Source organism: Homo sapiens, chromosome 11 (genome assembly GCF_000001405.40).
Source record: "Homo sapiens chromosome 11, GRCh38.p14 Primary Assembly".
NCBI classification, from domain to species: domain Eukaryota; kingdom Metazoa; phylum Chordata; class Mammalia; order Primates; family Hominidae; genus Homo; species Homo sapiens.
The window spans coordinates 82,797,028-82,810,618 of NC_000011.10; the positions used below are offsets into that span (position 1 = coordinate 82,797,028).

Sequence of the window (13,591 nt, forward strand, 5' to 3'; positions counted from 1 at the left end):
CATCTCCAGAACAGTTTCCTGTACTTTTCTGAGAGAAGACTAGAGCTGTTAACTTCTTTCAGCAGTGCTGAGTTAGCAGAGAGAAATTGCTAGCCTTGTTTCCTGGGCTCAGCTGGCTGGGCTCCAAGCTCCATGGCTGGCCCTGGGTTCTGGGGAAAAAGAGAAGGGCAGCTATAGATCACTGCTTGTGTGAAGTAAGCAACACTTGCTTCCGCAAAGAAAATGTCTTCTTTATTCACCTTCACCTCAGCCAGAAGAGCTCCGGACCAGCCAGCTTTGTCCCCAGACCCTTTCTCCTCCATCTCAGGAAGCCGAGAGTCAGAGCCCATTCCCTCAGTTCTGGTGTGTGTGGTCTGAGTCTCAATTCTGTCTAGCAGACAGCATGGAGGACCAAGGTCAGCAAGGTCATCAGAATGCTAAGAGGAAATCTGATTGATGAGCAAGTGTCAGCAGGAATGAATGGGAACCTTAATTAATGACTTCTGCCCTGTTTCAAAGAAAGGTTCTCTTATACCCAGTTCTCTCTTTTCTCTGAAAAAAAAAAATTGGGGTGGGTGAGGAACTGAGGAAAAAAAGGAGGAAAAAACACTCCTATAATCCAAAGTTTTCTAAATGACATAAAGGAGACTTCAAAGACAGGCATGGTAGGTTTTTTATGTGCAAGACTGGTTCAGTGATTCTCTCCTCTCTTTGTTTCCATGGACAGCTAGGCTCCTTTCCAAAGCTAAAAAATAAAAGGCCACTTTGTTCTGAGGGGAGCTAGCTTTTACAAGAAATTTCCTCCTCACCAGTGGGGCAAATTAACTGCCTCAGTCCTGGGTACTCTGGGAGCATCCCTCCAGAGCCAGCTCAGCAGTCCAGCTTCCCACTCCTGCCAGAAGATACATATATGCAAAATCCATATAGTCCACTCCACATAGAAAACTGACTTGATCAAAGTCAGTGTGAGAAGTGTGATAATAGAGGACTGTTCCAGGTTCGTTTGCAACAAAGAGGAGGCAATATCAGCAAAAATAGGCTACAGAGGATTCCTAGAATAGATGGTGTCTGCACTGAGGTTTACCTTCATAATATTAGTCGTAACTCAGCATTGAACATCTGCCACATGCCTGGTCCCGAGGCTGGCTGATGCAGAATATAAAGTTCGACTCACAACTCAGCAAGTCACTTCAAATCTGTGTTCTCTGAATCCTCACCTCTAAAGTGGAGATCATCATACCTGTTTCCAGATGTTGCTGAAGAAGCGATGAAATGAGATTCCTTATGTTAAATTCTTATGCAGTAACTGGGACATAGAAGATAATCAATAAATAATAGTTTAGAAAGGCAGAGGGGGGTCAGTATCCCTGCCCAGTGAAAACAACAAACATAAAAAACACTTAATCACATTGTGATGTTACAAAGCCAAAAGAGGTGTGCACAAAGTATAGGGGAAAAAAAGGATTCAACTGTGAACCTGTCTGGTCTTGGGCTTTTTTTGTTGTTGTTGGAAGATTTTTTATTCTTCCAATCAAGATTTGATTCTTCCAATTAATAGCATTAAATAGGTCAAAATTTTTAAAGGCTAACGGGAAGAATGGAGATACTCAAAATAGGAAGTTTTCTCCCCTTTTTATTCTGTCAAAAAGGAAGAAGAGAAATCGGGAAAAATAGTTTGGAGGAGATCATCCATGAGCGTGGGATGTTTTTCCATTTGTTTTTGTCACATATGATTTCTTTCATCAGTGTTTTGTAGTTCTCCTTGTACAGATCTTTCAACTCCTTGGTTAAATGTATTCCTACATATTTTTCATAGCTATTTTAAATGGGATTGCATTCTTGATTCGGTTCTCAGCTTTATCATCATTGATGTGTAGAAATGCTACTAATTTCTGTAGTTTGATTTTTGTATCCTCAAACTTCAGCGAAGTTACTTATAAAATCTAGGAATCTTTTGGAGGAGTCTTTAAGATTTTATAGGTGTAAGAGTACATCATCATGTAACAGAGATAATTTGACATCCTCTTTTCCAATTCGGATGCTTTTCATTTCTTTCTCTTGCCTGATGGCTCTAGCTAGGATTTCTAGTACTATGTTGAATACAAGTGGTGAAAGTAGGCATCTTTGTCTTGTTCCAGTTCTTAGGGGCAATGCTTTCAAGTTTTCTCTGTTCAGTAGGATGTTGCTTGTGGGTTTGTCATATATGGCCTTTATTATTTTGACATATATTTCTTCTATGCTTAGTTTGGTAATCGTTTTTATCATGAAAGGATGCTGGTTTTTTTAATGCTTTTTCTGCATCTATCAATGTGATCATATGGTTTTTGTTTTTAATTCTGTTTATGTGGTGAATCACATTTATTGATTTATGTATGTTGAACCAACCTTGCATCCCTGGAATAAAATCCACTTGACCATAGTGTATTATCTTTTTGATCTGCTGTTGGATACAATGTGCTAGTGTTTTGCTGAGGATTTTGACATCTATGTTCATCAGGGATATTGGTCTCTAGATTTCTTTTTTGATATGTCCTTGCCTGGCTTTGGTATCAGGATGATGCTAGCTTCGTATAATAAGTTAGGGAGGGTTCCCTCCTTCTTGATCTTTTTGGAACAGTTTTAGTAGGATTAGTATCAGTTCTTCCTTGTACATCTGGTGTAACTGGCCTGTGTAGACATTTGTTTGGGCCAAATAGGAAAAAAAAAAAAGGATTCAACTGTGAATCTGTCTGGTCTTGGGCCTTTTTTGTAGTTTTTGGCAGATTTTTTATTACCGATTCAATTACGCTACTCATTATTGGTGGGTTCAGGATTTCTATTTCTTCCTGGTTCAATCTTGGGAGGTTTCTGTTTCCAGGAAGGTATCCATTTCCTCTAGATTTTCCAGTTTGCACACATAGAGATGCTCAGAGTAGTCTCCCATGATCTTTTCTATTTCTATTGTACCAATTATAATGACATCTTTGTCATTTCTGATTGTGCTTATTTGAATATTCCCTTTTTTAATAAGTTAACCTAGTAGTGGTCTATCACTTTTGTTTATCTTTTGTTCTGTTTTTTTGTTTGTGTGTTTGTTTGCTTGCTTTTTAAAGACAGGGTCTTTCTCTGTCACCCAGGCTGGAGTGCGATGACACAATCATGGCTCACTGCAGCCTTAACCTCCCAGACTCAAGAGATCTTCCCACCTCATCCCCCCAAGTAGCGAGAGTCCAGGGGTGTGCCACCATATCCAACTTTTTATTTTTTAAAATTTTTTTATAGAGACAGGGTTTCAGTATGTTGCCCAGACTGGTATCAAGCTCCTGGGCTCAAGTGGATCTCCTGCCTCATCATCCCAAAGTGCTGGGATTACAGGTGTTAGCCCCCACATTCAGCCTTTCAAATAACCAAGTTTTCATTTTATTGATCCTTTGTATTATTTTTTGGTCTCAGTTACATTTAGTTCTGCTCTCATCTTTGTTATTTCTTTTCTTCTACTAAATGTGTGTGCGGTTTGTTCTTGTTTTTCTATTTCCTTGAGGTGCAATATTAAGTTGTTAATTTAAGATCTTTCTACCTTTTTGATGTAGGCATGTAATGCTATAAACTTCGCTCTTAGCACTACTTTTGCTGTATCCCAGAGGTTTTGATAGGTTGTGTCTCTATTTTGTTTCAAAAAATATTTTTATTTCTGCCTTAATTTCATCATTGACCCAACAATCAATCAGGAGCTGATTATTTAATTTCCATGTATTTTTATAGTTTTGACTGTTCCTCTTTGTGTTCATTTCTAGTTTTATTCTCCTGTGACCTGAGAAAGTACTTGATATAATTCCAATTTCTTAAAATTTGTTGAAACTAGCCTTGTGGCCTAGCATATGTTCAGTCTTTGAGAATGTTCCATGTGCAGATGAGAAGAATGTATATTCTGTGTTTGTAGGGTAGAATGTTCTACAAATGTCTGTTAAAACTGTACAGTCTAGAATCCAGTTTAAGTCCAGAGTTTCTGTATTGATTTTCTGTCTCAATGATCTGTCTAGTACTGTCAGAGGGATATTGAATCCTCCAGTATTATTGTATTGGTGTCTATATCTTTTCTTAGACCTAGTAGTATTTGTTTCTTAGATCTAGTGGTATCTGGGTACTCTGGTGTTGGGTGCACATATACTTAGAATTGTTATATATTCTTGTTGGATTGATCTTTTTGTCTTTATATAATGACCTCCTTTGTCTTTTTTATGGTTGTTGATTTAAAGTCTGTTTTATGGTTGTTGATTTAAAGTCTGTTTAATCTGATATAATTATAGCTACTTCTGCTCATTTTTTGTTTCTGTTTGCATGGAATATCTTTTTCTACCCCTTTGGTTTGAGTCTGTAAATGTCTTTACCAGTTAGGTTGGTTTCTTGTATGCAGAATATGGTTGGATTTTGCTTTTTTAAATCCATTTCCCTAGCATATATCTTTTAAGTGGAGAATTTTGTCCATTTACATTTGGGTTAGTATTGATATGTAAGGTTTTGTTCCTGTTAAGTGTTAATTGTTACTCTGTTGCTTTGCAGTCTTCATTGTGTAACTGCTTTATAAGACCTAGGAGTTTTATATTTTCCTGTGCTTTTATGATGACAAGTATCACCTTTTCATTTCTATGTTTAGAACTCCCTTGAGCATTTCTTGAAGGGTTGGTCTGGTGGTGAGAAATTCCCTTAGTGTTTGTCTGGGAAAGACTTTTTATTTCTCCTTCATTTATGAAGCTTAGTTTAGCAAGATAAAAAATTTCTTGGCTGGCATTTCTTTTCTTTACAAAGACTGAAAATAGGATTCCAGTCTCTTATAGCTGAGAAGTCCACTGTTAGTCTGATGGGATTTCCCTTATAGGTGATTAGATGTTTCTCTCTTTCCTCTTTTAGGGTTTTTTCCTTCATGTTAACTTAATAGTCTGATGAGTATGTGCTTTCGCGAGGTTCTTCTTGCAATGTATCTTCAAGAGGTTTGAGCTTCTTGTATTTGGCTCTATATATCTCTAGCAAGACCAGAGAAGTGTTCCTGAATTATTCCCTCCAATAGGCCTTCCATACTTGTAATTTTTCCCCTTCTCCTTCTGAAATATCTATAACTTGTAGGTTTGAGCCATATGCATAGTCTCATATTTCTTGAAGGCTCTGTTCATTTTGTAAAATTTGTTTTTCTTTATATTTGTCTGACTGGGTTGATTTGAAAGACCTGTCTTCCAGCTCTGAAATCCTTTCTTCTGCTTGGCCAAGCCTATTGTTGCAGCTTTCAACAGTATTTCACACAGGAAAATATAAAACTCCTAGGTTAGCCCCTGTAATCCAGAACTTCTGTTTGGTTTTCTTAATAATATCTGTCTCTTCTTTCATATTCTGAATTGTTTTTCTGATTTTGTGTGTGCGTGTGTGTGTGTTTGTGTGTGTCTCTGTGTGTGTGTGTTTTCAACTTTCTCTTCACTGGATGTTTTTAAAATCAATATTTTGAATTCTTTATCTGGCATCTCAAAAATTTTATTTTGGTTAATATCCATTGCTAAAGAGTTAGTGTGGTCCTTTGCTGGGGGTTATAACACTATCTTTAAATACTTTCAGAACTGTTCTTCTGGTTCCTTCTCATCTGGGTAAGCTATCTCTTCTGCTTATTTTTGAATTTACTTTCATTGGGATGAGATATTTTTCTCTCTCTCAAGGATTTGACTACAATTTTTATGGTATTGAGTCCTTTGGCTTTGGTTCTGGGTGCTTCCAGTGGCAAAGACTTTGTGTAGTTTCCTTAGTTACAGATAGCTTTTGTACAGTAGCTTTCTTAAATGCTGGCTGTGCTAGCAATGTACTGGGCAGATGAGCAGGCTCTCTGCCTCCTGCATGGCTCGTGTAGCAGAGGCCTCAGGAAGCTAATCTAGTTCCCCACTGCTGTGTGCTTATGTCAGCAAAGTATATTTTGGCTTGTGCAGTTCATCCTCAGTCTGTGGGTGATGCTTATGGGTAACAGCCAGGTGCAGCTGAGGTAAATGGGTATATGCTTGATCTTTGTTTGCCATAAGATGCTCCCTGTTGCCTCAGGCAATAGACCATCCTGTGGAATGCACAGTGGTCTGAGCTCCCTGCTCAGTTCCAGGAGAGACCAAGCTTGGCCTGCCAAATTGGGCAGGCCCACCTCTTCATCCCCCAGTGGCAGGTGTAAGCACTGGCTCCAAAGTAAAGTCCAGAAGGCAGCCACCAAGCACCTAGAGTTGTGCCTGAGTATGGAGTGGAGAAACTTCTGCTTCCCCAAGTTTTCCACCCAGGAAAGGAGGGGTGGCCTAAACACCTAAACAGTGGGTGTGCTGAATGCCTGGAGATAAATCCAGGCATGGAGTAGAGGGGGTGTCACTGCACCAAGATCTCTGTACCTGAAGGAAGAGGTAGCTCAGGTTCCTAATCCAGGTAAGTGAGTATACCAAATTATGCCCCAGTGTGGAGCAGAAAGGGCCCCACTGCACCAAGGGACCTCTGAACAGAAAGGAATATTTGACCCACTTGACCCAGGAGGCCAACAGGGGAAGAATGGAGCTACTCAGAATGAGAGGATTTCTCCCTTTGTATTCTGTAAGAAAGGAAGAAGAGAAATTGGAAACATTAATTTAGAGGAGATCAAACTTGTTGCCATTTCTCCTAGCCAGTGAATTCACAGGTCCTGAGCCATTTGGATGTGTCTTTGAGCCCCTTGGGGAGTGTTGATTTAATCATCAGTTCGCAGCAATTTCAGAAGAGAGGGAACATTTTAAATCACACCAAAGAGATTCAAACAGCAAAATGTGGAGTATGGGAAACTATAGGGGAAAAAATGTCAACATTTCTTCAACAAATAACTTGTAAAGGGTAGAAGTATATTTATTAAATTATACTTGCAAGACTTTGCAACCAAATCAATAAAAAGAAATCACTTGGATCGTAGTTTAGTTTTAAAAATAAACTAATTTTTAGCCAGGCGCGGTGGCTCATGTCTGTAATCCCAACACTTTGGGAGGCCAAGGTGGGTGGATCACCTGAGGTCAGGAGTTCGAGACCAGCCTGACCAACATAGTGAAACCCCATCTCTACTAAAAAATACAATAAAATTAGCTGGGTACGGTGGCACATGCCTGTAATCCCAGCTACTTGGGAGGCTGAGGCAGGAGAATTGCTTGAATCAGGAGGCAGAGGTTGCAGTGAGCCGAGATCACACCATTGCACTACAGCCTGGGCAACAAGAGTGAAACTCCATCTCAAAAAAATAACATAAAAAAAATAATTTTTTAAATTTATGAGACAACTGGGAAAATGTGGAAAATCATTCTATATTTGATGATATTGAGGAATTATGGTTACTTGCTTAGATATAATAGGAGTGTTGTGGTTGCATTGTTTTTTAAACACTCCTTATCTCTTAGAGATATATACTGAAATAGTAATAATGAAAAGTATGATATCAGAAATTTTCTTACTAATAATTCAGTTTGAATTAAGGAAAGTGGGTGAGGAGAATATATCTAACAATATTGGCCATGATAATTATCAAAGCAGAGTGATGGGTACTTGGGGGCTCATCATACTATTATATTTTTACATATGTTTGAAACTTATAAAAATTAACCTTAACCCCTACCTCACAGCACATAAATGAGTAATTAAATCTGTGTCACAGACCTAAATGTGAAAGCTAAAACTATAAAGATCCTAGAAGAAAACGTAGAGAGTATTTTCATGACCTTGGAGTGGGCAAAAGTGTTTTAGTTAAGACACAAAAGTCACTTTCTTTCTCACACAAAAAATAATAAATCCAACTTCATAAAAACTAAAAACACACGCTTTTCAAAAAAAAAATAAATAAAACCAAAATGAGATGCCATTACACACCCACCAGAATGGCCAAATTTTAAAAAAAGATTGGCCACAAAAAGTAATCAAGGAGATAGAGTAATTTGAACCTTCATGCATTGTGAGTGGAACTCTACAATTTTAAGCCAATTTTAGAAATTGGTCTAACAATTATCATAAACATAAACATATATCTACCAAGCAATTCCACTCTTAGGTATATGCCTAAAATAAACATGTACAAATATTCACAAAAAGTTTTGTAATGTAATACTCATAAGAGCTTTATTTATAATAGCCGAAACTTTAAATAACCCAGATGTCTAGCTACAGAAGAATAGACAAAGAAGAAATTGTTTTTGTTGTGCAGTAGTGCTAGCGACTTCAAGGTTCGGTCCTTGGACCGGGCAGCCACCACTGGTGCTGAGCTGCTAGGAAGCCCCTGTCTGCAAGCTTGTTGAAGCTCGAACCCATTGTTACTCCTCTGACTCACCGGCAAACAAAAACAAACAAACAAAAAATGGTTGAAGTAGATCGCCCAGGAAAGCTCTTCATTTGTGGGCTTAATACGGAAACAAGTGAGAAAAGTCTTGAAGTAGTATTTGGCAAATATGGACGAATAGTGGAAGTACTCTTGATGAAACGAACAGATAAAGAGGATTTGCTTTTGTCACCTTTGATAGCCCAGGAGACGATAAGGATGCAGCCAGAGACGTGTATGGAAAGTCACTAGATGGAAAAGCCATTAAGGTGGAACAAACCACCAAACCATCATTTGAAAGTAGTAGACGTGGACCCCTCCACCTCCAAGAAGTAGAGGCCCTCCAAGAGGTCTTAGAGGTGGAAGAGGAGGAAGTGGAGGAACCAGGAGACCTCCCTCACGGGGAGGACACATGTATGATGGTGGATAGTCCATGAATTTTAACATGAGTTCTTCCAGGGGATTACTCCCAGTAAAAAGAGGACCCCCATTAAGAAGTGCGGGTCCTCCTCCTAAGAGATCTGCACTTTCAGGACCAGTTTGCAGCAGCAGTGGAATGGGAGGAAGAGCTCCTGTATCACGTGGAAGAGATAGTTACGGAGGTCCACCTCGAAGGGAACCGCTGCCCTCTCACAGAGATATTTATTTGTCCCCAAGAGATGATGTGTATTCTACTAAAGACAGCTATTCCAGCAAAGATTACCCAAGTTCTCGTGATACAAGAGATTATACACCACCACCACAAGATTATACTTACCGTGACTATGGTCATTCCAGTTCACGTGATGACTATCCATCAAGAGGCTATGGCGATAGAGAGGGATATGGTCGTGATCTTGACTATTCAGATCATCCAAATGGAGGTTCCTACAGAGATTCATATGAGAGTTATGGTAACTCAAGTAGTGCTGGACATACACGAGGGCCCCTGCCAGCTTACGGCGGAAGCAGTCGCTATGATGATTACAGCAGCTCACGTGATGGATATGGTGGAAGTCAGACAGTTACTCAGCAGCTGAAGTGATCTCTACTCAAGTGGTCGTGATCGGGTTGGCAGATAAGAAAGAGGGCTTCCTCCTTCTATGGAAAGGGGGCACCCTCCTCCACGTGATTCCTACAGCAGTTCAAGCCACAGAGCACCAAGGTGGTGGCCATGGAGGAAGCCAGTCTGATAGAGGGGGAGGCAGAAGCAGATACTAGAAACAAGCAAAACTTTGGAACAAAATCCCAGTTCAAAGAAACAAACAAAAAGTGGAAACTATTCTGTCATAACTACCCAAGGACTACTAAAAGGAAAAATTGTGTTACCTTTTTTAAATTCCCTGTTAAGTTTCCTTCCATAATTTTTATGTTCTTGTGAGGAAAAAAGTAAAACATTGTTTAATTTTATTTGACTTTATGACGTTGCTTTTCAACAAGCAAATGTTAAATGTGTTAAGACTTGTTGTACTAGTGTTGTAACTTTCCAAGTAAAAGTGTCCCTAAAGGCCACTTCTTATCGGATTTTTCCCAGTAAACGAGGCAAGCAATTCTTAAGATCTCCACAAGACATCTAGCCATCTAAAATATGGAGAGATGAATCGTTCTGCCCATACAAACAAGCTAGCTATTAGAGGGTGGTTGGGGTATGCTACTTATAATATATGATATATATTTCCAACTGAAATCTCAATGTTCTCAATATAAAAAACCTGAAATCAGGTGCCTATTACGGAAAGTGCTGTTCACCCAGTAAACCCAAAAAAGCAAATGGATAATGCTGGCCGTTTTACCTTTCTGACGTTTCCTTGGGTATCTGCAAGAACCTCCCCTTTTGCCTCCCCCAAATAAGATCTTTTAAGTGTGTGTTAAACAACTACGGAATACTAAAAAAAAGTTTGGCAAACCAAAAAGGAAGAAGAAGAAGAGAAGAAGAGGAAGAGGAAGCAGAAGCAGAAGAAGGAGAAGAAGAAGGAGGAGGAGGAGGAGAAGGAGGAGAAGGAGAAGGAGGAGGAGAAGGAGGAGAAGGAGGAGGAAATTGTTTTGTGTTTATACAATGAATTATACCTACTCAATAATATGAACTACTAACAAGTGAAAACAAGAATGGATCTCAAAACTGTTTTGTTGAGCAAAATAAACTAGAAACAAAAGTGCATTCTGTATAATTCCATTTATGTGAAGTTCAATAACAGGCAAAACAGATCTATGGTAATGGAAATCAATATAGTGGTTACCTCTGGAAGGGGGTGGCATCACCCAGAAAGAGACATAAGGAAACTTTCTGGAGTGATGAAAATGTTCTAATCTTTTTCTGGATGATGGTCACGTAAGTTTTTATCTATGTAAAAAAATGTACTGATCTATTCCCTTCAGATTGTGCATTTTACTGACTGTAATGCGTAACTCCATAAAGCAATATTGTAAGAACATAAGAGACAAAAACAGAGACATAAATTACTGACAGCATGATAGACTATGTACTTTAAGAAATATCTAGATGCTGAATAAACTACAACAATTACACATTTAAATGCAAGTCATGGCAGAAAGGAGAACGTAAAAATACAGAGAGAATTGAATAACTGTGTATAAGTAGCAGGAATGTACAAGAAGGAGGCTAGAAGCTAGGAGGATAGGGGGAAAGTTGAAGAGAAATGATGCCAGAAAGCATGACAGTGAGCTGGAAAATATTTCTAGCCAGAAATCCATAGAGCAAGAAATGGTCCGTTGATATTTACATCAATGAAAGCTGTCAGTTGTTACACGCACATGCTGTAACCCCTTTTGTTACACAAACCTTTATGAAAGTATGCCAGACATAACTTTTATTAATGATGATTTGAGGGAAATTAAAGGGAAAACTAAATATGTAGCACACCTAGGATGATATAGGCAAGAAGGAAGGAAAGCAACCATAAGGTCTGTGTGATAGTAGGGAAAGAAGAAAACAACCATCCATCTTATACCATCTGAGGACACAGACAAAAGGCACCATTTATTAATGAAAAGGCTGGGTCCTGACCAGTCACTGGATTTTTCAGTCACTAGTACTGTGTGAAATAAATTTTTGTTGTTTATTAGCTACTCAGTCTATGCATTTTGTTACAGCAGCCCAAACAGATTAAGACAGGAGGCTTCCACCCAAGTAGAGTGAGAAGTAATACATGCTAAGAAAGGTTGGTGTCATTGATGGAAGACTGGTTACATGTGGGGAGATTGATCAAATAAGTAAATATATTAAGTATATTGAGAGCTGGTTCCTCATTGTTAGAAAAGAGAATTATAATTATGGAAAGGAATAAAACTAGCAGGAACCCTGTGATACTGGACTGAAATTGGAAGCATCATGGTTTTCAATATATAATGATAGATGTAGAAATAAATATATATGTATAATTATGGAAAGATATATATCATTCCTAACTCTATCCCCTGAGAGGGTCTGAGATCAGCAACACTTCACTAGCTATGAGTACAATTTGTACCAATGTGTGGTTTCTAAAATACCACTCTCTAATGAAAGAAACCAGGGCTCCTTGGAGAAATGGCTGATTTCAGGGCTGGGGTAGAGAAATTACAAGATAAGCCTAGAATATCGTGCTAAAAGACACAGGAGGACTCAGAGAACGATGGGACCACGTCAAAAGGACAGAGAATTCAGCTTAAAGGGGTTCCTACTGACCAAATCAAAGAAAATTTGAGCAGCAAAATAAAAATAGTAACAAAGTATAATCCATTGAATAAAATAAATAAATGAATAAATGAGAAGTTCAAAGGGAAACACATTATTTACATATTTTCAAAGTCCCTACCCATAAAATACTTATTTATTACAAAGTTAAAAATGAGTAAATTTAACTGGACAATCCTGGCAGAGATAATCAAATGATTAAAGTAAACATCATCGGTAGCAGGACAAATTGAAATCATGCATCATCTAATAAGATGCTGTGAAAACACAGCATCATTCCTGCTAGATATGCATAACCTGAATCTAACCGTGAGGAAACTTGATGCAGACCCAAACAGAAAGATATTCTACAAAATAACTGGCCAGTAATTATCAAGAGTTTCAAGGTCATGAAAATTAAGGAAAGTCTGAGAAACTGGTCCACATTGAAGAAGTGATAACAACTAAATTCGAAGCTTGATTCTGAATTATAACTTCTGGCTATAAAGCATATTATTGGAGCAACTGGGGTAACTAATGGGATCTGAGGATTGGATGGTAATAATATGCCAATATTAATTTCCTGATTTTGATGATATATTGTTGTTATGGAGAATTGTCAGAATTGGCACTAAAGTATTTGGAGGCAACGGGACATTATGTCAGCAACTTACTCTCAAGTGTTTAAGTTTAAAAAATCTGCATATGGAACTTTTTTGGAAGTTTGCAGGTGTTTCAAACTTTTTTAATGAAGCTTTACAGTGAGCCGTAATGGTACCACTGCACTCCAGCCTGGGCTACAGAGTGAGACCTTGTCTCAAAACAAATGGCAATCATGAGGGATTGTTATTTAAAAAGAAAAGAAAAGAGATATTTTAAAGATAATAATGTTAAGAGTTCAATTAAAACACAAGCCATAGAGACACAATGTTTGGCAGTCTTTCTCAGTAATGGTCTCTTGAGAAAATTAAATTCTATAAAAAATATCATGAATGACTTCTTAAAAAATTCTCATAACAATGTTATATAGCTAATACCATTTCTAGATGCAATGGTGAGATGTTAATCCATTACACACACAATGGTGTAAAGTAATGGTAACTTTACACCATTGGGTATATTTTACACAATGGATACTTCACACCATTGGATACTTCACACCATTGGATACTTTTACACAACGGATGCTTTACACCATTGGGGCATAATTCCTTTGTGGTATTCAGAATAGAAAGCTTAGGAAAGAGAAAAGGGTTAAGAAGAAAGCATGGGTTCCTGGCTTGGAAACTGTGAAGCTGGGAGTTCTATTTACTGAAATTAGAAACACACATATTCCCCCTCTTTTTGGTGTAGAAAGTTCTTCCACATCTAATGTACTGGTTCTTGTCCTTTCTGCCCAATCTACCTGAATGGCCCACCACCAAACTAGCTCCTCATGTCCTAAAACAAAGTTCTTATTTTTCATTCTTCTATACCCCATCTCTACCCTCAGTTGATTGGACTTTACCCTGGAGATGACAGGAAGCCAGTGTTTTGTAACCATCTCTTCAAGGTCGGGGTCTATATAGATGTACTTGTGCAATCTCACACCATAACACAGTGCCTGCCACAGAACAGGTGCTCTGTATTGAGTAAATAATTTGGAATGCATT

General features: G+C 38.3%; 1 long non-coding RNA gene and 1 pseudogene across 1 annotated transcript in view; both read left to right on the forward strand.

Moving 5' to 3' along the window:
• LINC02734 (long intergenic non-protein coding RNA 2734) overlaps positions 1-13,591 on the forward strand; it is a 36,240-nt gene that overhangs the window by 15,526 nt on the left and 7,123 nt on the right. The gene's annotated exons all lie outside the window — the stretch shown is intronic.
• On the forward strand, positions 8,168-10,176 carry RBMXP3 (RBMX pseudogene 3; annotated as a pseudogene).